Consider the following 23,320-nt stretch of genomic DNA (forward strand, 5'->3'; position numbering starts at 1 on the left):
GGTTCTTCTGCTGGTCTTGCCAGTGGTTACTTGTGTGGCTTTATTTAGCTGATGGGTCAGTTAGAGGCTTGAATTGGCTGGGCCACTGAGTTTTTTGAGCTCATGTCTTTCTATAATATAGTTAGGATCTCTCTCTCTCTCTCTCTCTCTCTCTGTCTCTCTCTGTGTGTGTGTGTGTGTGTGTGTGGGTGTGTGTCTAATGAAACACAGGGTGTCTCTATTAAGGTAATAGACTTTCTCACATGGTGGCTCGGGGCTTTCTAGACAACAAAAGCAGAAGCTACCAGACTTTTTTAAAGCTTAGTCCTGGAATTGGCACAGTGCATATTCTGCTTCCTTCTATTGGTCAGGGAGGCTGCCCATATTCAAGAGGAGGGCACTACACAAGGAAGGGCATGATTACCAGGAGGCATGGTTTACTAGAAGTCACTTACATAACAGACTGCCACAAACCCTAAATCATTTATACCGAAAAACCTTAGTAATTGATTTGGGTGTAGATAAGCCTATGTTTTAAGTAGATTTACATGTTGCTAAATGAAATTTAATATTATAAATGAATAGAGACTTTCCTAGGAGCCTTGATATTATTTGACACTATAAAATGCAGGAATGGTGAAAGCACTTTATATTATGTATTTTCCTTAGTTCTTTTTATTATTTGTTTGTTTGAGACAGGGTCTCACTCTGTCACTCAGGCTAGAGTGCAGTGGCAGGATCTTGGTTTATTGCATGCTTGACCTCCTGGGCTCAAGCAGTCCTCCCATCTTAGCCTCCCAAGTAGCAGGGACTGTAGCTGCACACTACCACACCCAGCTAATTAAAAAAATTTTCAGAGACAGAGCCTCACTATGTTGCCCAGAATGGTCTCAAACCTCTGGCTTCAAGCAATCCTCTTGCTTGGCCTTCAAAAGTGCTAGGATTTCAGGAATGAGGCATCACATCCAGCCTCCTATTTTCTTTAGTTCTTATACCACCTATTGATAGGTGTTCAAATATTAGCCCCATTTACAGATGAGGAATTAGTTCAGTAATGCTGAAAACTTGTTCAAGGTCACATAACAGAGCGATATTCAAACCAAACCAGTTTTACTCCAAAGCAAACCTTTTAACTCAGCTCTTCTAACTGTAATAGTCTTAAAAATCTGGTTTCCAAAATTTCAGGGGTCTACTGCCATGAAGTCAACTGATTCTCTTTTTTAAGGCTGATTTGAACGCCTTTCCAATGTAGCTTAATACAAGAAGGATGAGGATCCTGAATTAAACTCCACAGCTGTGTTTACATTTCATAGAAAGTTGTTTCCTAGGTAAAAACGGCATGCATTAGTAAATATCTCACCACATGCTGCAGTGACCTCTCTAAGACTCTAATAAGAAAAAGGCTTGCTCATATTCATCACTTTTAAAAGGAACCTGTTTCTGGACCATTATATGGAAGTATATTCTTCATGTATTACACTCTTCAAATTCTTCTTGAAGCAAAGGGAATGTATCTCAGCTAACTTTGGACGTCTTCATAACATGAATCATAGTCAGGTGTAATATTTTATGTATCTATAGTAATGGTGATAAGCTCTGTGGAGTCAGAGAATGTGTTATACTCCGTGGATCCTCCAACTTTGAACACCCTATGAGAACCAAGCAAGAGCTCAATGAACATTTGTTGAATTAATGTTTGATGGTGACAAAAATAGCTACATATTTTTCTATCTGTGTTAGCAAGCAGTGCCACTCAGTATCATTTCCCTCATTCTAAATGATCGATTCTGCCACCCGAGCAGAAACACAATGAGCTGATGCAGATGAATTTAAGAAGCCTTTGAGGACCTCTCTGCCATGGAATGTTGCCTGATAGAATCCAATGCTACATGCTGTCAGATATGAATTATTCATTGACACTTCACTCCTACATCATTATACCTTTCATTCTGCTGTGTCTGCACAGATAGGATTGATTCACACATCACATCCAGTAACATTTATAATCAGAAAGAATAGAAACATTTTCACAGAGAAGAAAACATGTAAGAATACACTTAGGATAATCACACTAGTAATTGGTTCTCCAGCTTCCACCTAAGCAAGAGATGTGCTGGAAGAAAAAAAAAATGTGTTGCTTCTTGTCAAAATAGTCATTGTTTAAGCAGTAATTCCCAAATAGAAACACCTACTTTCACACAAGGCCTAGGAAATATGAATCATTTTGTGAAATCTGACACCATATGTTCTAAAATAGGGTACTTTGCTGGCAATGATTGCAAAGCACTGGCTTGGAAAATCTACACATAGGATCTTTCCAACCATGGAAATGTATGAATCAAGAACACTGTTCTGAATTAATTATCATTGTGTGTATGTTTGTATGTGTGTGAGAGTGTCTGTGTGTCTGTGTGTTGTTTGTGTTTTTCATGGGAAATAAACTCTTGATTAAGCATTAGATACACACCCACCCACCTCCCCACACACACACACACACACACACACACACACACACACACACACACACACACACACTCACACACATATTCTTATACAAAACAAAGGAGCAGAAATAAAATCAGAACCAATCCTGGATTTAAAGAAAATGTGATAGATCCATTCCACTTCTTCCTTTAATTTCTGTTCTGTTTATTCAAATAACTGTTCATTGAGGAACTGCTTTGTGCCATATAGATTGTGAGGTACTGGAAGTAGAGTGATGAGCAGGATAGATAGAGTGCTTGCTCCATGAAGCTCAGAGTCTTATAACCACAGCATGTATTTAACCTAGTATATCTCCTTAAAGTTTATTTTCATTGTGTCCTAGGAAGTTTTACAATCTTTCACATAATAAGTGCAAGGTAAACATACATTTAATGAATAAAATTCATAAAATTTACTGCTATAGAAATAATTTCAGTTCATAAATTTCAGATATTACAAGTTTGTAAATACTGATCAGAACATGATTATTTATGCTACTGGCCAATGTGTCTGATGAACATAGAGATTCCAATAAAGATGAAAATGTAAGAATTCAAGGTGATGAAATAGTGCAACAATGACAAAAATATATTAATGATATTAATTTGAAGCTAAATCACAAACAAAGGTCACCATAATCATTCAGTTGGGAGGGGATATTTTAAAACACAAGCAGAAAAGCAACATTCCACCTTGTCTATATGGACATTTTAAAAATGCTTATGGTGAAAATCTGCTCATTTAAGGTGTGTACTGTAGCATTCTATTACTACCATTTATTACAAAAGATAAAAATATTGGATACTGAAGCAGTTTCGGTAGATTTTGCTGAAACACATAATAGAGCTAGAGACAAATGTTTGTGCCCAACCTTCATAAATAAGGAGTGAGAAAAGGCAGAAATGTTTGAGCAGCCCACTTGGTACTGTCTGGTTGGGCTCTTCTTTACTTCTGCAGCTTTGACTCCCACCATTCCCATCTTTCAGTCCCATTGGCTTCCTTCAGTTCCCCAAATGCTCTCTGCTCCCACCCACTAAAGAACTTTTGCATACGCTATGCCTTCTGGCAGAAATATTCTATCTACCCCCTGTATTCGTCCATTCTCACATTGCTATAAAGAACTACCTGAGACTGGGTAATTTATAAAGAAAAAAGGCTTAATTGACTCATGGTTCAACAGAAAGCATGGCTGGGGAAGCCTCAGGAAACTTTCAATCATGGCGGAAGGCAAAGGGGAAGCAGGAACATCTTACATGGCCAGAAGAGAAGGAGGAGAGTGAAGGGGGAGGTGCTACACACTTTTAAACAACCAGATCTCATGAGAACTTACTATGATAGGAACATCAAGGGTTTGGAAATCAGCCCCCATGATCAAAACACCACCCACCAGACCCCTCCTCCAACACCAAGGATAAAAATTCAACATGAGATTTGGGCAGGGACACAAATAAAAACATACCATTCTGCCCCCAGCCCCTCCAACATCTCATGTCCTTCTCACACTGCAAAATACAATCATCCCATCCCAACAGTTCCCCAAAGTCTTAACTCATTTCAACATTACCTCAAAAATCTACAGTCCAAAATCTCATCTGGGACAAGGTAAGTCCCTTTCACCTATGAGCCTGTAAAGTGAAAAACAAGTTAGTTACTTCCAAGATACAATGGTGGGTACAGGCATTGGGTATACACACACATTCCAAATGTGAGAAATCAGCTGAAACAAAAGGGCTACAGGCCTCATTCAAGTCCAAAACCCAGCAAGGGAGTGGTTAAATCTTAAAGCTCCAAAATAATCTTCTTTGACTCCATGTCTCACATCCAGGCCACACTGATGCATGGGGTGGGCTTTCATGGCCTTGGGCATCTCCACCCCTATGGATCTGCAGGGTGCATCCCCCTCAGCTGCTTTCCTGGACTGGTGTTGAGTGCCTGTGGCTTTTCCAGGTGTATAATGCAAGCTGTCAGTGGATCTACCATTCCGAGGTCTGGAGGACAGTGGCCCTCTTCTCATAGCTCCACTAGGTATTGCCCTGGTGGGGACTCTGTGTATGGGCTGCAATCCCACATTTTTCCTCTACATTGCCCTAGTAGAAGTTCTCCATGAGGGCTCCGTCACTGTAGCAGGCTTCTGCCTAGACATCCAGGCATTTCCATACACCCTCTGAAATCTAGGCAGAGGCTCTCAAGTCTCAACTCTTGCCCTCTGCACAGCCACAGGCTTAACAGCACATGGAAGCCATCAAATCTTATGGGTTGTACACTCTGGAGCAGTAGCCTGAGGTGTATCTGGGGTCCTTTTAGCCATGGCTGGAGCTGGAGCTGCTGGGATGCAGGGAACAGCGTTGTGAGGTTTTACAAGACAGTAGGGCCCTGGGCCCAGCCTGCAAAACCATTCTTCTCTCCCAGCCCTCTGGGCCTGTGACAGGAGGAGATGCTTCCTTCAAGGCATTTTTTCCCATTGTCTTGGCCATTAACTTTGACTTCTTTTTAGTTATGCAAATTTCTGCAACTCGCCTGGATTCATTCCCAGAAAATGGGTTTTTCTTTTCTACCACATGGCTGGGCTACAAATTTTCCACTTTTATACTCTGCTTCCCTTTAAAATATAAGTTCCAGTTCCAGATCACTTATTTGCTCACAAAGACAAACATAGGTTGCTAGAAGCAGCCAGGTCACTTCTTGAACATTTTACTGCTTAGAAATTTCTTCTGCCAGATATCCTAAATCATCACTCTCTGGTTCAAAGTTCCATAGATCTCTAGGGTAGGGGCACAATGCCTCCAACTTCTTTGCTAATGCATAAGAAAAGTGACCTTTGCTTTACTTCCTGATAAGTTCCTCATCTCCATCTAAGACCTTTTCAGCCTAGACTTCATTGATGATATTACTATCAGCATTTTGGTCACAATAATTCAACAAGTCTCTAGGAAGTTCCAAACTTTCCCTCATATTCCTGTTTTCTTTTAAGCCTTCCACTTTTTTCCAACCTCTGCTCATTACCCAGTTCCAAAGTCACCTCCACATTTTTGGGTATCTTTATAAGAATGCCCCACTCCCAGTACCAATTTTCTGTATTAGTCAGTTATCTCATTGCTGTAAAGAACCATCTGAGACTGGGTAACCTATAAAGAAAAGAGGTTTAACTGACTCACAGTTTTGCATGCTGTAAAGGAAGCATAGCTAGAGAGGCCTCAGGAACCATACAATTGTGGTAGAAGGTAAAGGGGAAGCAGCTCATCTTACATGGCTGGAGAAGGAGGAAAAGAGATGGAGGGTAGGTGCTACACATTTATAAACAAGCATATCTCATGAGAACTCACTCACTGTCATCAGAACAGCAAAGGGGAAGTCTACCTCCATGATCCAATCACCTGCCACCAGGCCCTTCCTTCAACATGAGATTTGAGCAGGAACACAAATCCAAACCATATCACCCCCTACCCATACACACACCACACACACACTCTCTCAACAAGGTGGCTCCCAGGCATCCTTCAGATTTCACAGCACACACCACTCCCCTTGGAAACCATTTCTTAACTGCCATGAATATGGAGAATCTCCATGCTTTCACAGCACCATGAACTTCTCCATGGCATTTATGGCAGCCCTGATTTGAACATATACATAACATACACATAAATACAATTTTATGTATAAAATTAATTTCAAGTAAAGTGCTTTATATAATTGTATACAAATGTATTAGTCTTTTGCATTACAAAGGGTTTATTGCAAACCTATCACATAGTAAACTCTTAAGGTAGGTTTATTGAAGAAAGAAGTGAATGAATTGAAAGAGAGATACATTAGGGAAATCAGATAGTATTATCCTAAATTTTGAGGACCAAGTATTTTTGCAGTTTTAGTATTTTTTTAGAACAATAATTTGATCATTTTTACTACCCTCGGTTGCAAATACATTAATTTCTCCCAAAATAGGAACTTGGAAGGAAATTTATTTTTTGAAAACTATTAAACAGAAGTGGCAATATTCTTATATATATATAAAAATATATATATTTATGTATTACATATATATTATATATGTAAAATGATGGTTATCGAGATAATAGAAGAGATTATTCTTCTGCACTATAACCCATTACCACTACTAACCATCAGTGAAAATATACTAGAGAAACTGATGGATCTGCTTCCTTCACCCCCCACTTTGTTCTTCACTTCTTGGTCATTCTTCTGTTTACTTGGCCTTCACTTCCTACTTGGCTGTCTAAGAGTGATAAAGAGCATGGGCCTTGAATTCTGGCAGAGCTGGATTCAAATCATGGCTCTGGCAGCATACTCTACCCCGAAACTTCTTCACCTCTCAGCTTTCTAATATATAACATAGCAATAAAAATTATACATCATAGTTCTTGAAAGTGTTTAATGAGTTAACATATATTAATTGCTTAGCACATTTCTGGCATTAGTATTAATATTATTAATATTAATTAATATTCATCCAATATTAATGATTTTATTTATTCAATATTAATATTGAATATTATTTTATTTATTCAATATTACAATTGAATATTATTTTATTTATTCAATATTAATTAATATTAATTATTAGTACTGGAGGGTTTTTTGTATCATTATTATTCTCACTCTTGTCTTACTTTCTCTTTCTCTGGTCTTTAGCACAGGTTTGGCTCTTCTGATTTTCACACTCAGTCTTCCTGTGGGCATAGCGTTTCTACTATGCTCTTTCTGATCACTAATGCTCCAGGTAGCAATCCACACATGCTAATGTCCTCTGTTTAGGCTTCTTCTGGACCGCACTTAACTCAATATTATTTTTCTTTCTTGATTTGATTCACTTGCAACTCAACAGTGTTTGTATTTTGTGTACTTTTGTAAGCCTCCTACAAATCTTTCTGAAATTTCATGGGGACTTACCTACCCTACTAGCCTGCAGCACCCAGCAGCATCCCCTGGCATTAATCTGCTCACTTAGTTCTTCTGCTGGTGGCTAGATCCTCTGCCTGGGGCAGGTCGGAAAAGTGGGAAATGGCAGAAGTTTTTTGAGAGGCGTGGCCCCAGGAGCACTAGCTCTGGGTTAAAGTCCTAACATAACTGGTCTTGTTTCTTTGTCTCTGGTCTTTTTTCTTTGTTTCTCACATGCTTTTATATTGCTCTGAGACTGTTCATCAAATCCACTCATCAAAACCTTGTGGAAAACACAGTTGTTTCAAGAGTTTGCTAGAGCCTCTGAATCCCACAATCCCATAATGCACATCTCCAAACAACTGATCATTTGTTGAGGACATTTTAGGGTATTAAAACAGTCAGTGCAGGGAGGAATTCTGGGGCTTCAAACCTCTCGGGATCTTTAAGGCTATATTTTATATCCTATAAATCCATCTGGTCTTGGGCCCTAAACACAGATAATATACTTTTGCCCTGTTGTTTGCTGAAGAAGCCATATTTCAGAATAACCCAATGGGCAATAATGATTATTTCCTCTATTTTTTTTAACTTATTAACTCATTTTGTCGTTGCTTTATAAAAGCTAAGTCCAGAGCTAGCAATTGCTTGGTGATTTTGGTACAGTCTGATTAGATAATTCCGGCTTAAAGTAACCTGTTCCTCAACAGCAGGTTTGTTTTCCCCAACCACGCAAATATTCATTCCTTTCTGACTTGATGGCAATAGACACACTTTGGTGAAAGAAAGCTGTGGGAGAAACTGTTCCTTGGAAAGCAATAGCAGGCTGCACTCTTCACCAAGCCTGGCAGGCTGCTGCCCACTGTTCTATTACAAGCACATTCATTTCAGTCGGTCAGTGCACTGTCCTTTGTAAAGTAAAGAGTATAATTTCTTAGATATAAAAAGAAAGCAGAAATCTACCAGCAGGAAATTGAACTGAGGCACTGGGAAATTTAAGAGAAAATTGTATTATTTCTTTCTGTTTTAATACAATGGATAAACCAATCATGAGAAATAACATTCTCTTGGGGCCAAGTAGGGAAAGGATAGCTATGTAAAAGTACTAAGTCAGATGATCAGTCTCTAGAAATGCTTATGATACACAGAGACAGACACACGTCCCCTGGCTTATTTGCAGATGTTAATTTTAGGTTATTTTTATGCAGTATAGCTCCTTTTATTTCCTAACCAATTTACTCAACTCTGGGAAAAGTCCCTATGTACAGTGGAACAATTATTAGGATAATTATAGTAAAACATATACTAAATAAATTTTCTGCTAGGCAGATTAAAAATAAGATCCACTCTGATTTGCCATTGTTGCCTGTGAATTATAAGTTTATAAACATGAAAGTTGGATATTTTGATAAGTATATATTTAATAGATAATGCACACATATACATGTGTAATGTTGCATATATATATATATTTACACAGACACTATCATAAGCCCACAAATCTCACATCATGAGAAATCAGACAAATATTACATTAAATTCTAACGTGTCCATACCTTTCTTAATGCTAAAAAATGTAATTTCATTGATAGTGTAGAAGTATAAAGCTTAGTTATCTTCTTTCAAAATTCTCTTCTATTAAAATGGGGGCTGAGAGGAAAGAAGAAGCCACCTACATTTTGTCTCTAGGAGCCAAGAAAATTATGCTTTAGATATTGCCCACAGTTTTAGAGATAAAGTCCAACTCTCACCTTAGGCATAAAGTCCCTCATGATCCAGCACCTGCTTTTTCTCTAGCTGCTTTGGCACTTGGGACCCTTCACCGTAAGTACACCCTGATGCAGTCTTCAAAATCTGAAATGCTAGTTCATACCCTTTTCACATGCTTTTCTGAATGGGATGTAATCGTTTTTTGGATAGCTAAGCTGAAATTGTAATTCAAAATTAATCTTTTCTGGTTTTCACACCCCTTATATTTTCTGGTATCTCTCTCTCCTACAAGGAGAGTTGTTAGAGTTCAGGAACTTCATCTGCAATGATCTTGTGTTTCCTGACACCGTTTTGGCACATAGGGGAGGCTCTACAAGTGTTTATTGAGTAAAAGAATAAATGAGTGATTGACAATGAACTTCCTCATTTCTCTTCCGAAAGCCTTTAGCAGCATCTGATGCTTCTTAACATAGTTATGTCCAGGGAAGAACAACTTCTAGATATTTATAACTCATTGTGAATATAATAAATATGTGATTATATTGAGTTAGAGTCACAGGAGGCAGGACTATGAGAGCACTGAGAAACTGAAGAATAGGAGGACTAGGCAACCACCAATGGGGGGGAATGACAGCAAAGAGAAGTCTGGGAAACAAAGACAATTTTCCTATAGAAGACTACTTTTTGCTAGAGTCAGCCAAGCTTATGAGCATATAGTTCATATTTAAATCTAAATATTTTAGAATATATGAAGAATAAACCAGAAGAAAATACATTTGTTTATAAATATATCAAACTTAAAGCAGACCCACTGTGATCATAAGATTTAGAATATAAAAAACTTACCGTTTAGTAAACAGTGCCACTGTTCCACATTAGTGGTACTTGGGTAAAAACACACAATAGTCTTATACAGTGTGGCTTCCAAAGCCCCGAGTGTGGAGAAGCCCCCAGTATTCTATATTTTGCCCCAAGAAACTTTATATTTCTGGGAAAACTAAAATCCACCTTCCAGTATTCTAAGTAGAAATGCAAATTTCATAATTTTGGAAAGGGAATAGGTTTGATTATACACTAAGAATCTGAAGAGGAAGATGGTTCAAAAAGTTAAAAGTGAAATTTTATCTATATGTTTCTAAATGATTTCAATAAAGGAGAAAAGAGGAAACTTCTTAAATTAATAAGCAGGTTTGCAAAAGACCCATTCAAAGAATTTCTGCATTAAAAGCTCATTGGGTCCATAATAGGATAAGAGGAATCAGCCCTTGATTCAGTAGCGAATATAGTATCATAGAAGCCCATAGGAGGAGTGCTGGAAGTCAAAGTTCTAACCAACTGGGGGCTGCAGAAACTGAATTGGACAACCAAGAAGATAGTTTTGTATTTTAAACTATGAAGAGTACTAAAGCTCTCTGAAGAACTTCAATGAAGACGGATATCACAGAAAAAAAAAAGATTCCTCATTGGCCATTTAGCTTCCATCTTGTTTGTACTGAAAAAAACTCAAAAGGTGAAACAGTTATTAGTAAGTGGGAACTGAAATCCATGATGGATTAAGAAGTTGTAAGTGACTCCTGCCCCTACTCACTCTTCTGCTGCTCTCCGGGAGTTCTGGCTCCTAGTTTAACTGGGTTGAACTCAAAGATATTGCCTGCCTGCAAGACTTCAGAAACAGCAGAACTAGTAGGTCTAAGAGAAATCACAGCAAATAATAGAAGACTGGTGAAGGGCAAATCACTATCTAGTTTTCAGCAAAATAACGTGGATTTTACAAGCCAAAGCTCTGAGTTTGATACTGATTACAGCAGAGACTCTAAAATTATTAAAGAATGTCCTGTAATCTCTTGTAATAAAATAACAGTTACAAAGATCTAGCATGGTTTGCCTGAAAAAAGAAAACATGAAAACAAGATTCATCACTTTCTTTGTCACAAGTTACTAACCTCACAGATCACAGAAATTTATTTGGTGGTGCTTAAATTGTATGAAGGAATCTGACATACCTTTTCACTATTTGGTGGACAAGATGGAAAAAAAAGGAATTTAGGCAAATTATTAAACGAAGTAAGCTACTATACTTGAAGAGTACAAATTAATGAATAAATATCATACTATAGGGATTTCTTTTCTTTTCTTTTCTTTTTTTTGAGGCAGAGTCTCACTCTGTTGCCCAGGCCAGAGTGCAGTGGTGCGATCTTGGCTCACCACAACCTCCGCCTCCCAGGTTCAAGCGATTCTCCTGCCTCAGCCTTCCATGTAGCTGGGACTACAAGCACATGCCACCATGCTTGGCTAATTTTTGTATTTCTAGTAGAGACAGGGTTTCATTATGTTGGCCAGGCTTGTCTCAAACTCCTGACCTCAAGTGATCCACCCTCCTTGGCTTCCCAAAGTGCTGGGATTACAGGCATGAGCCACCATGCCTGGCCAGGGAATTTCTAGTTGTAATTTGAGTAAAGGCTTTGTCCATAAAGTTACTCAAAATATTTGTAAAACTAACAGATAACATGGAATGAAAGAATTAGAATATAAAATTTTTGGTAGACTATATTGATAGTCTAGAATTTCAATGATAATTGTGAGATCCCATTCTTGGATTAAAAAATATAAGACAGTTACAAAAGGGAAAAAGTGAGACTTGGTAGCATGTGTATGACTTAGGGATTTGAGCTGATAGTAAATTTAGGTGGAATCACTATTGAGATGTTATGGGGACAAATGCAAAAATCCTACTCTAATATGCAGAAAGTGATAGTCCCACTTATTTGTTCAGACCATATCTGGAGTAAGACAATACTTTGTGGGTTTTGCAGTTCTAGAAGAATTTAGGGTAAATTTATGAGAAAGGCAACAAAGATAGAACTCATCCTGATATCTTATAAGGAATAGTGGATGAAATTGGGAATATCTGGTATCAAGAACACTAATCTCGCTGGTGGTGGAGAAGGTGATAGTTGACCTCAGTAGTGTGAAAGGTTTTTATGTGGAAGGAAGGTAGACTATTCTATACAGTTTCAAGGGCTTGAATGACGGCAAATTGGTGGAAACTCAAAGAAGACAGATTCTGACATTATCACGAACTATTTTAATGGTCAGTGATGCTCAAGTATGGACTTCCTTTTCCTTGAAGTTGGGGATGGACTTCCAGATGGTGTGGAGTGGGAATTGAAAAATAGGAATATAATGTTGCACTTGATGAGTCAATGTCCTTTTTAAGCCTTGAAATTAGATGATTCTGTAATTTGGGGAAAATGTTTTCATCCCAGTCTTATTTTTTATTTTAACTCAGAGTTTTGAAAAATAAGAAAAAAATAAGATTGGAATATATGCCTCACCAGCAATACAAACATGATTTTAGGAAAGGGGATCTGAAGTCTCAAAGTGTTCAGGAATATTAAAACTTTTGTCTTGCAGATTATTCTAAAAATCACCATTTGCCATTTCATATTTCTAGCAATGCATCAGAAGGGACAATTTAAGTTTCATAGTCTATAAATAGCTTTGTCTTTCATATTTTTTTTTACACATAATTTTTGAGAATCTTTGAAATCAAGGGGAGGATGAGGCACAACTGTAGCTATTTATCCCACTGGAATCCCTGAAATACCCTTTCTAAGAGGGTGCCTATTGCAGGCTTGAGAAATCAATACTTAACCTATAGAAACAATTATTTTAAAACAGCCTTTCAGAGGGTGGATCAAGTTTGACTAAGGGCTAAAAGTGGTGAGACAATGGTTTCCTGCAAAATAAATTCAATAATTGTTTTGGCTCATAATATTTTTTTACACTGTGTCTGAACAATTAATGACTTTTTCTGGTAGTCTCTTGCTGAAATATCAACATAACTCTCAATGCAGAACAAGAAAGCTTAAGGCTGAATCCAAAAATAATACACTATAGAAAATAGCAACCAAACCCACCTACCTGATAGACACAATTTTACAAAATACACACAACAGCTGGGAAAAAAACATAAACATGGAGCCAAAACATGGAGATTTGGCTTGAAAAATAAATGGAAATTAGACATGGCTTAGCAACTGGATGATTACAATAGTTGACTGAACTGAACTTTACACTGGATGGTCTGGCATTGTTTAACCATCTAGAAAAACCATATGTAATATTTAGCTTTTCTTATTTTAAAAATTTACTTATACTAGCAAATAAGAAAGCTATATTAAACACATTTTAATTTTTATGATATTGTATAGTGTACACACACACTACCGTAAATTGGACAGTGAGTAATATTTAAATTGATGATGATAGCTATAATAACTTTCCCACTGTCAATAGAAAATCAATATGTCTTTATTGAATTCAGCAAAAATAAGCCAAGTTAAGCAACTGAATGCTTCTAAATTTGTAAAGTCTGCATCAAAATTGTCTAAGCTTGTCTATGGCTTCTTTCTGTTTGGCAAACACTGCAAATTTAGATCCCATGGCAGAGATTTTTGAACACTTTATAATTATTTTAATCTCCATCTGAGGATGTCAGACTGCTTCTAATTTGAGAATAATACTTCTGATACATTCTAAGAAGTTAAGTAGTTATTCTTCCAATAGTGCTAATAAGTGTGATCTTCCCTATTCACTCTTTTGCCCCATTTTCTTTGAAATTAGAATAATGATTCCATCTTTAGCCGTCAGCTGATCCACATATAGTCAACATCACAAAGGAACATAAATGATTGAAAAGTTAAGCCAAAATATGTTATTGAATATATCTGACCTCTGACAAGTCAGGCTTCACTATATGCCACTGTCTATTGGAGAATCATGTCATCATTGTTGCAAAAGAATGGACAAGGTATATACTGTTTTTTGTTTATAGTTTTGACAAATTTCCTATTTCCTCTACAACTGCTTTCTCTCTTTGCCCCTCCCTCTTGGAAGCATTTTCCGGAAACAATGGTTTCTGTTTGCTTGAATCAGTTGCCTCATCTCAAATGCCTACCTTCACCCAGCTACAAAATAAGCAACACTCAAATCTCTATAAATACATTTGACTGTTTCTCACGTGCAACTCTTCTTTGACTTAATTGTTGACTCTGTCTTGTATGATCAAATGTTTATTTTTTTCTGGGTGAATTATTACAGAATATTCTAAATCTCTAGATGATCCCTTTTTTCTATGTGCTTTGCCTCAGCAAACTCACTAGTGTGATCTGCCAAAAATACGTAATGCATTACAAAGCCAATTATAAATAATCTTGATAAATACGCCGTTTTGAATCACTCAGGTTATTCTTTGCTTTTTAAAGTGAATATTCAAAAGATTATGTATTTTTTTTTGGTTTGGGTTGATGGTTAGAAAAGACAACCAGAAATGTAATACAGTTCATCTCCCCGTTTCTGTTTATTTTCATAGTGATTTGCAACTATACTGAGAATGGAAAATAAAACATTTGTTGCAAGAGGATGCTTATGTTCATTCTTAGGAACATGGAGTGAAATTAGAAATGGAGAAATAAAAGGAAGCGAAGAAAAGATCTCTGTACTAGATGTGGGTCAGCACACTTCAAATTCTGAAGGCTTACTAGAAATTTTCAAAAGTTTTTGTCCTCATATTTTGGAGTTAATTTAAGATTGTTAACTTCAGACGAAAGAACATGCATTCATTATTTGGCAGAGCAGTATGTTCTTGGTACTTAGATTTTCAAATATCTTTTCTCATGTAGGACGGTCAATTCCAATGGTGAAAATTCATTACTCTTGTCATTCTAATCAACAAAAGAAAAGCAAAACTCAGGCAGTTATATCTTCAAACTATCTGGCAGACAAGTCGACATTAACTTTTTATGTCATTATTTTATCAAAAACTTTAGCTTTACAGTTTGCTACCTGGAGGAAATCTTAATATGTTGGCATTCAATACAGCACGAATGTTGATGATTTTTTGCACTCTGTGAAGAACATTTCCAGCAACACTCACAGTTTAATACCCCTATAGGCTTCCTTTCCAGAGATCATATGTTGCATTTAATGACTGATTGCAGAATAGTGCAGCAATAAGGTATATATAGTAAAGGATATTTGAGTATGTTTCCTATTATATATTTCTGACTCTACAATCCAATTATTTGTTTACCTTCTTTTTTTTCCATCTGTGTTCTCAGTTCTGAACTCCCTAGCCTCATGAATGGTATATGTTCAGTAGGGCTTAATAAATATCCACAGAACATGAGAATGATTCCGTGGGCAGGTTCTTGTCAGTAGGCTCACGTTGTCAAAGTACCATATTTTAAAAACTTGTTGGATTGGTGAATGATGGTTGCTAATGCCCTCCAGAGATCCCAGGTAATGACTATTGCAGTGCAAGACAGTGACACATACCTAGAATTTGAATCAGGACCTCTGAGTTCAACCCAATTCTGCTCACATTGTAACTTGGCCTTTTGAGGACTTACAATGTTTGTTTGTTTGCTTTTGTTCATTTATTTTTGTTTTTAGTGTGTAATTTTCTCAAAAAGTAGAGCTAACATCTGATCTACAACGAAGAGCAAATGGATGTTTTGAGATATGAAACATTACACAGATATGACACTGCTGATTGATGGTTACATAACTCCAACTGTGCCAATATTTTGAAATTTGTTGAAAGTAAGATTTTTTTTTAAATGTAAAAGGCCTTATATATTTTTCTTAGGTGAAGGAGATGTGGATCTGATATTTTAAAGGATTTCTTATTTTAGAATTTTGGTTTCTGTTGAAAGCTTCAGCCGACACTGGGGAGAGAGAAAACTCCATTTCTATGGAAGAAGAAAATCCCAGGAGAAGATAGATGCATTTTAACTTAGCAGAAATGGACCTGTAAATTAATTCATTTGTCAGAGTTGGGGAGGGGGACTAACTGAGGGAGATAATTTGGAACCAGCTCTCCTGCCTTCAGTAACCAGGTTCTGCTTTGCTGATGATTTAAATTTACACACTCACTCCTTCTAGAGCGATGATTCTTCCTCTGGACTGGTTCAGTCCCCACAGACTCCTACTTGGAGGGCAGAAAGTTGGTGCTGTCACATCCAAGTTTTCACTCTGTGATAGTCAGTGCTCTGGGAGTAGAACTGATACAGGCAACTGTCATTTTCTGACAGGAGAGTGACAGCGTGAGTTGTACTCACACTCTCATTACGCCATTTGGAAAGGCACAATGTCTCCAGAGTATGCACTCAGTGGTTTATTGGTCTTAATTTGATGTTTGCTGTAATAGATATCTTTGTCATTGCATTTTTTTTCCTTTGGCTTAATTTTATTTTATTTCCTATGAATATGATTTAAAAAAAAAACCTTTGCAGATATAGAGCCTTGATTTGTTTTACCTTTGAATGCAACATGTATATTCCTGCAGTTCTTAGACTGTTCAATCAGTGCTACCAAATATCTGACGTCAGCTAACACCTAGCAGCACTAACACCTGAGGGTCAAAATTAAACTCTCAGCTGGGGTCTACATACGCCAGTAAAGAAAGGCCTCAAGCCCCAAGTTTTGACTGCTGATTTGTCTTATACTTCTCTTCTTCAATAAAGCTATTACATTTAATTTTAGATGAATTAAGGAAAGAGATGCTGAAGTGAAACTACAGGAATTGTTGAAATGTAAGTAAATGTTTCTTCAAGGCAAGCTAATCAACTACTGCAAATCCCTTCTGATTTAAGGAAAATATAACAAAAACACGAATATTAGACACATTATGGATTTTTACTGCAGATTTCAACTTTAGACTATATTCCTGGACTCCTCACTCCGTAAAACCATTCAATACCCTCACATATATTCTCACTTCATTTACTTTGCTACTTTTCTGTTTTGGCGAGTTATAGTACGTCATTATTTTTACATCATTTAAGTTTATAGCATTTATATAAATACTTTTCATAGTTGATTGATCTTGGCTCTATTCTTTATTTACAAGTATCTTTTTTTCTTCTGGATATTCTTATCATGTAATTCTTCCAGGAAAATTTCGTTTTGTTCCAGAACACTTGTCTATACCAGAAGGGGAATTCAGGAGAGTATAACATTCTTTTTCTTGCTTTCAAAATTTATAAGACTGTCCACTGTTTGATATGAGATGTGCAGAAAGAGAAATCAAAGGATATTTATATTATTCCTTCCTGCATGCTCATGTGAGATATTTTCCTTATCTTTAAAATTAAATAACTTCACTAGAATATGTTTATGATGATTGCAATGTTAAAATTTTTCCAGAAACAATGGGTGCCTATCTAGAATCACTATTGGTTTATTTTAGGAAACACTTTTTTTTTCTTTATATTCTTGGAATTATTTTTTCTCCTTTATTTGTTGAGTTCTCTTTTTCAGGAATACTGATTAAGAAAAAAAATGCCAAACGTCTTTTGCCATATTTATGTCTTTTACCACATTTATGGTAAAACACATTATTGCCATTTTACCAATGCTATTACCATATTTATGGTCATTTGAAAATCCTCATTCTTTTCTATTTTGTTTTGTGAGATATTTCAAGCCTGTCTGTCATGTTTCTGTGGTTTTTATTTCTGTTAATCCTGCGTTGGTTACTCAAATGTGGCTTTCTTTCTCTCAAATGTTTATATTACTCTCATTTCTTTGTTAATTATATTAACTCCCTTCCTTGTTTTTTTCTTATTTCTCATTTGCATGCCTTTATCATTGACATCATCCCTGCTTCTTCCTTCAGGAAACCATCTTGTCTACAATTTATTTGAGAAAATAAAGTTATTTGTCTAACGTAATTTTTGGTTTCCTCTTGGAGTACTTGTTCTCATTTGCTCTTTGTTTATTTTTCTTTTTCCCTTTAAATTTCCTGGCACTATCTACACCCATGTTCCATATTGGATCCTTTGAGATTATTTTTCATTTTTCTATGGAATTAGTAGTTTGTTGAAGAATTGGGTGTGGAGGGGAAGCAAAGTAGGAAGTGAGTGGCAAGAGACTGCAGCCTTGATTCAGCATGTGGCCTGAAAACCCTCTCACTCACCCTGTTACATGCTTTGTCACAGGGGAACATCTTGTTTTTGCCTTCCAAAAAGGTAGGGCTCAGAAGTCTGTGGATTCACGGGCCCTTTGGTTGTATGCTGTATGGTCACTACTTCCTGTTTTTTTCCTCAGCCTCCTTTGCGCCCTGGATCCTCCTCCCCACTGGCCAAATAGAAAATGGAAGACACAGAATAGAAATGCTTCTTGACCGGGTGCAGTGGCTCACGCCTGTAATCTCAGAACTTTGGGAGGTCGAGAGGGGCAGATCACCTGAGGTTGGGAGTTCGAGACCGGCCTGACTAACAGGGAGAAACCCCTTCTCTACTAAAATACAAAATTAGCCGGGCGCGTGGCGCATGCCTGTAATCCCAGCTACTCGGGAGGCTGAGGCAGGAGAATCGCTTGAAGCCGGGAGGCGGAGGTTGCAGTGAGCCGAGATCACACCATTACACTCCAGCTTGGGCAACAAGAGAGAAACTCAGTCAAAAAAAAAAAAAGAAAGAAGAAAGAGAAAGAAAGAAAAAAATAAAGAAGGAAAGAAGGAAAGAAGGAAAGAGAGAGAGAAAGAAAGAAAGAAAGAAAGAAAGAAAGAAAGAAAGAAAGAAAGAAAGAAAGAAATGCTTCTTCATGCATTTGTCCCGTCATTCTGTTGAGCTGTTCTGAGATGCACTAAGGACATCCATATTGTTTTTCTGTGATTTATCTTATATATTCCTCCTTTACTCAAAACTTCATAGCAGGACTTTGCAGTATTATGACACATTTTGTAGAGGAAAATCTGCACTCTGCTTAAAGAATGAGAAGGGAGAAGGTATGCTTTTTCTTTTTGTTATCCTGTTTGATTTTGGTTCAGATTTGACAGTAGTTGGCAAATATTCTTTATAGTTTTTGGTTTCAAGTTTTAATTATTTTCTTGTGTTTTTTTGTTCGTTTGTTTCCTTCATTATAAAATTTTTTCTCCATCCAGTTTTCATATGTATATGTATGTATGTGTGTATATGTGTATGCATGTGTATTATATATCCCATCCTTATTCAAATACACATGTCAAGATTTCATATATATTTGAGTAACAGTATGGCATAAAATTGTGAACTTGACCTTGTTTAATCGACCTCCTACTCTCTTCTCAACACTTTATTTTACTGGCTCTTCTTCTTTCTGCCTTTTTGATACTTTATCTTCTCCATTTCTCTGTCCTTTAATGAACCATTTTCCTCTTCTTTATAATTTTAAGGCTTGCTAGAGGTATAATTCTTAGCTCTCCGCTCTTTTCTTCACTCTCATTGTCCTTTTCCTTCTTCTTCCCATCATTTTTCTATTTTGCCTTCCTGCCTCTCTCCTGCCATCTTCTATTTCTTTTATAAGTTACTTCTCAGCAGTTTCACTGTTTCTATACTTTAACTATTGTGGCCAGGAGCAGTGGCTCATGCCTGCAATCCCAGCACTTTGGGAGGCCCAGGCGGGTGGATCACTAAGTCAGGAGTTCGAGACCATCCTGGCCAACATGGTGAAACTTCCGTCTCTACTAAAAATACAAAAATTAGCTGGGCGTGGTAGTGCGAACCTGTCAGCCAAGCTACTTAGCAGCTGAGGCAGGAGAATCCCTTGAACCTGGGAGGTGGAGGGTGCAGTGAGCCAAGATTGGGCCATTGCACTCCAGCAACAGGGTGAGACTCTGTCTCAAAAAACAAACAAACAAACAAAAACACGAAACTATTTTTTCTCTGCATAATCTTCTCACATTTCTATTTCTGGGCTCTGCATCTTTGTTGCAATGGCTGGTTGTCTCTTTACTACATCAAGTCAAACATCTTTGAAACAATTATCATTGCATTCTCTGTATCCTCAGCTGGACTTCCACTTTTCCATTGGTTGCATCGGGATGCTGGATCATGCTTTCAAGAACACACCTAATCATTCTCAACAGTATTGCTGTGATACTGCCTAATTACTTTGTTTTGTTTATTCAGGTTGCAACACTATTGTTTCTCTCTTTCTCTCTCTCTCTCCCTCTCTCTCTCTCTCACACACACACATGCACATGTGTATGTGTATACACATAAAATTCACCATTGCTTTACTTAGCCTTAATTAACTAGTAGTAGCATTTATACTCTCTCAGTTACCCAGGGTTAAACGTAAGTTATTATTATTATTATTATTAAAAGTTTTTTTCTAACTTGATCGTCTCAGCCAATTCAAGTCCAATAATCAGACTTTGCCTTGGCAACGACTTTATCTGTACGCTGCTTCTAGTTGCACTTTTACCACCCTAAGACCCTTAATGCCATCAATGTGGATATCTAGAGATGCTAAATTCTCTTTCTGTCCCCGCCAATGTACAATGCATGCTTCTGCTAAATTAGACTATCTGAGCTGGAATGCCAACAGTATCACTGTCTGGCATTAATAATGTCCGTGACTTCCCTTCATGCCCCTAATGAACCAGTAATTTGTCCAAGTTCTCCATTATGTTTTCCAACCTGTGCTTCCGGCCTCATGGCAAACAATTCAATTGCCTAGTGCAATTGAATCCTCCACTCACACCTTGATGCTTATTAGAGTCTAAATCATACACAAACTATCACTTTTGTGTCTAAGCTCGTAACATTGTTTTTATCCAGAAATCCTGCTTTCTACTATCATGCTTGTCAAAATCTTATTCATCCTTCTCAAATGGAAACCTTCTTTGTAAAGATTTGTGGATCCCTGTGGCTAGATGTATTCTCTCTTTCTTCAGTTCTTAATATCATCTACAAGGCTCTATATAGCCTGGCATTTGCATACCGTTTATTACATATACTACAGCTTGCCTTCTTTGGGTTCCTTAAATAGACCAAGTTGTGTGTGTATATATATATATATATATATATATTTTTTTTTTTTTCCACGATCTTCACCTTAGCTGTTTGGTATACGTAAAATGTGTTTTTCCTAGTCCTTAGGATGACTTGATTCTTCTTAAATGTCGTCTCTTATGGAAGTTCATTTATTCCACCCTATTCAAATAGATTTTCGGAACTTTCTCCCATGCCAAATGTTTCTTTATCATAACACTCTGTCATTTCCCAAACTGACTCTGTGAAGGCAGAACAGAACCCAAATCTGTTTTGTTAACCAAGGTCTACAAACACACATAGTATAGTTCCTGGCATATAATAGTTGCCAAAATATTTATTAAATGAATAAATGAATGATTAAGCATATTGTTTATACTTTTTCTTTTCATGTCCCAGACTGTATTGTACTTCCTAATATTTTTCTTGTATTTTATTAGGTTTTAAAACCTTTGAAGTAAAAATAAAACATTTTGCATTGTTCATCTTGGTATCCCTTAGCTTCTAGTATGGTGCCAAACATTCATGAGATTAATAAATGTTTGCTGAATTAAATCGATTTGAATTAAACCTTCAGAACAATATTAAGTTATTGCCAGGACATCACAGATGGTAAGTGCAATTTCCTCTGCTAATAGCTTCCAAGGTTGATGATGAGATAAAATCAGTCGAGCATCCATCAATAGGGGAAAAGCTCTTAAAAACTAAATCCTCTAAGTCATTGTAGTGTTGCCTCCTTTGTTATACTTTGTTTCCTGCGCCCATCCTTCCTTAGAGCGTCAGACACAGTTCTTATGTACTACTTCATTAAGGATAAGTGTAGAGTGATGTCAGGAAGGAGGAAAGGCCAATAAAAGGCCGTTTGTTTTTAGCAATGTTCCTCTTAACCACCAAAGACAATGTGTCCATGTGCTTATCCCCTTCTCTCTGCTTAACTCCTTGACTCCAATTTCTCAGCTTACCTCTAATGAGAGAGTGTGCCTTAAATTCGAGATGAGTGCCGGTAAGGGTTCTTAAAAGCTGGCACATTTCAAGTGCATGGTGAGAAAACTACCCCAGGATTCTGCAGGTGTTAATTATGGTGGAAGCTAGCATAAAGATGCAGAGTGTAGAGCGGCTTGCTGCTCTGATCTTCATGCCCTCTGGTGCCCTCTGGTGCCTCTAAGAGAGAATGACTGAACCCAACAGTGGATGGCCCCTGTTACTGGAGATACTCTCTCTCACCCTCTCATATGTGTGTGGAGTGAGAGAACAAACAGCCCCCATGAAACTCACGTTTTTTAGAGTGCAGAAATCTGTGCAAATCTTAAAATAGCATATGCCCGTGAAGTTTATGTCATCCCTTTTTGGTTCGGTTTCGCTGACTTTCAGAAGGATCATGATATCTTCCTTACTGCATTAACATTTGCTGACAGAAGATCCTTAAAAACTATCTCAAATATTTGTTATCTCTTTTTCATAAACAAAATCATCTTCTCTTTGCCATAAATGGAACATTTATGTAGATCCTGGGTAGCATTTCTTAAATCTCACAGATATGAACATAATTCAGCAGATGTAAATTTTTTTTTGTTAGGACTACAAATTAAGCAGTTTGAAGGGTATTTAAAAAATCTCTATCTTTTCGATGTGTGGCTCTGGGTGTTATCCATTTCTAAGGTGTTCAAGATTAAAGATAATACTGCTATCGCCCTAATGTTCTAACTGCATACACACCCTGTACCCAATCTCAGATATCCTCTCCCCTGGCCACTCCTATTCAAAGCAACAAGGACAACCACCACCACAACAATGAACAAAAAACGAATCCCAGGAATGGATAAGGTGGTCGCAGATGCCACAGGTTATTGATGGAAGTAATTTTGGAGTCCTTGTTTAGTGCTCATAACATCTTGTATTCTTGGCCTCCATCTGGACTCTGCCAGTTCCTTAGTCTTAGCAATGTACCAGGCACATAAATTCTCTTTATTAAGAACCAAAACTACTTTTTTCATTTTATGTAAACTCATAAGTCACATCTTCAGCTCATTTTGAAGTAAGAATCTTCAGTATAACAGGGGAAATAGTATAACTACTACAAGGTAACTAACAAGTAACAATGTTTGTATAAAAGCCAGAGAGTATCTCAGCAGGAAATTTAATATTTTAGAAGAACAGACTTTTAGAGCAAACTTTTACTTACGATATTAACACAAATGAATTCAAGATGCCAATAATATTATTCCTACCTTTTATTACTGTCAGTCTGTACAAACTCTTAGCTTATTTGCTTTACAGATCAGTCTGTGAAAATGAATCAACTAGAAATGATTTCTTTTTTTTTTTTTCTTGAGATGGAGTCTCTCTCTGTTGCCCAGACTGGAGTACAATGGTAAGATCTTGGCTCACTGCAACCTCCGCCTCCCAGGTCCAATCAATTCTCCTGC

The 23,320-nt window shown here is 37.1% G+C and overlaps 1 protein-coding gene across 13 annotated transcripts in view, besides 1 other annotated feature; it reads right to left on the reverse strand.

Moving 5' to 3' along the window:
* GRIK1 (glutamate ionotropic receptor kainate type subunit 1) overlaps positions 1-23,320 on the reverse strand; it is a 403,064-nt gene that overhangs the window by 290,916 nt on the left and 88,828 nt on the right. The window lies entirely within an intron of this gene.
* Positions 5,700-5,900: a silencer, noted in NCBI's record as "peak4398 fragment used in MPRA reporter construct". NCBI's record gives its function as "represses an SCP1 promoter by STARR-seq MPRAs in K562 erythroleukemia cells {active_cell/tissue: K562}" and the evidence as "EXISTENCE:reporter gene assay evidence [ECO:0000049][PMID:32103011]".

Source organism: Homo sapiens, chromosome 21 (genome assembly GCF_000001405.40).
Source record: "Homo sapiens chromosome 21, GRCh38.p14 Primary Assembly".
In the NCBI taxonomy this organism is placed as follows: Eukaryota; Metazoa; Chordata; class Mammalia; order Primates; family Hominidae; genus Homo; species Homo sapiens.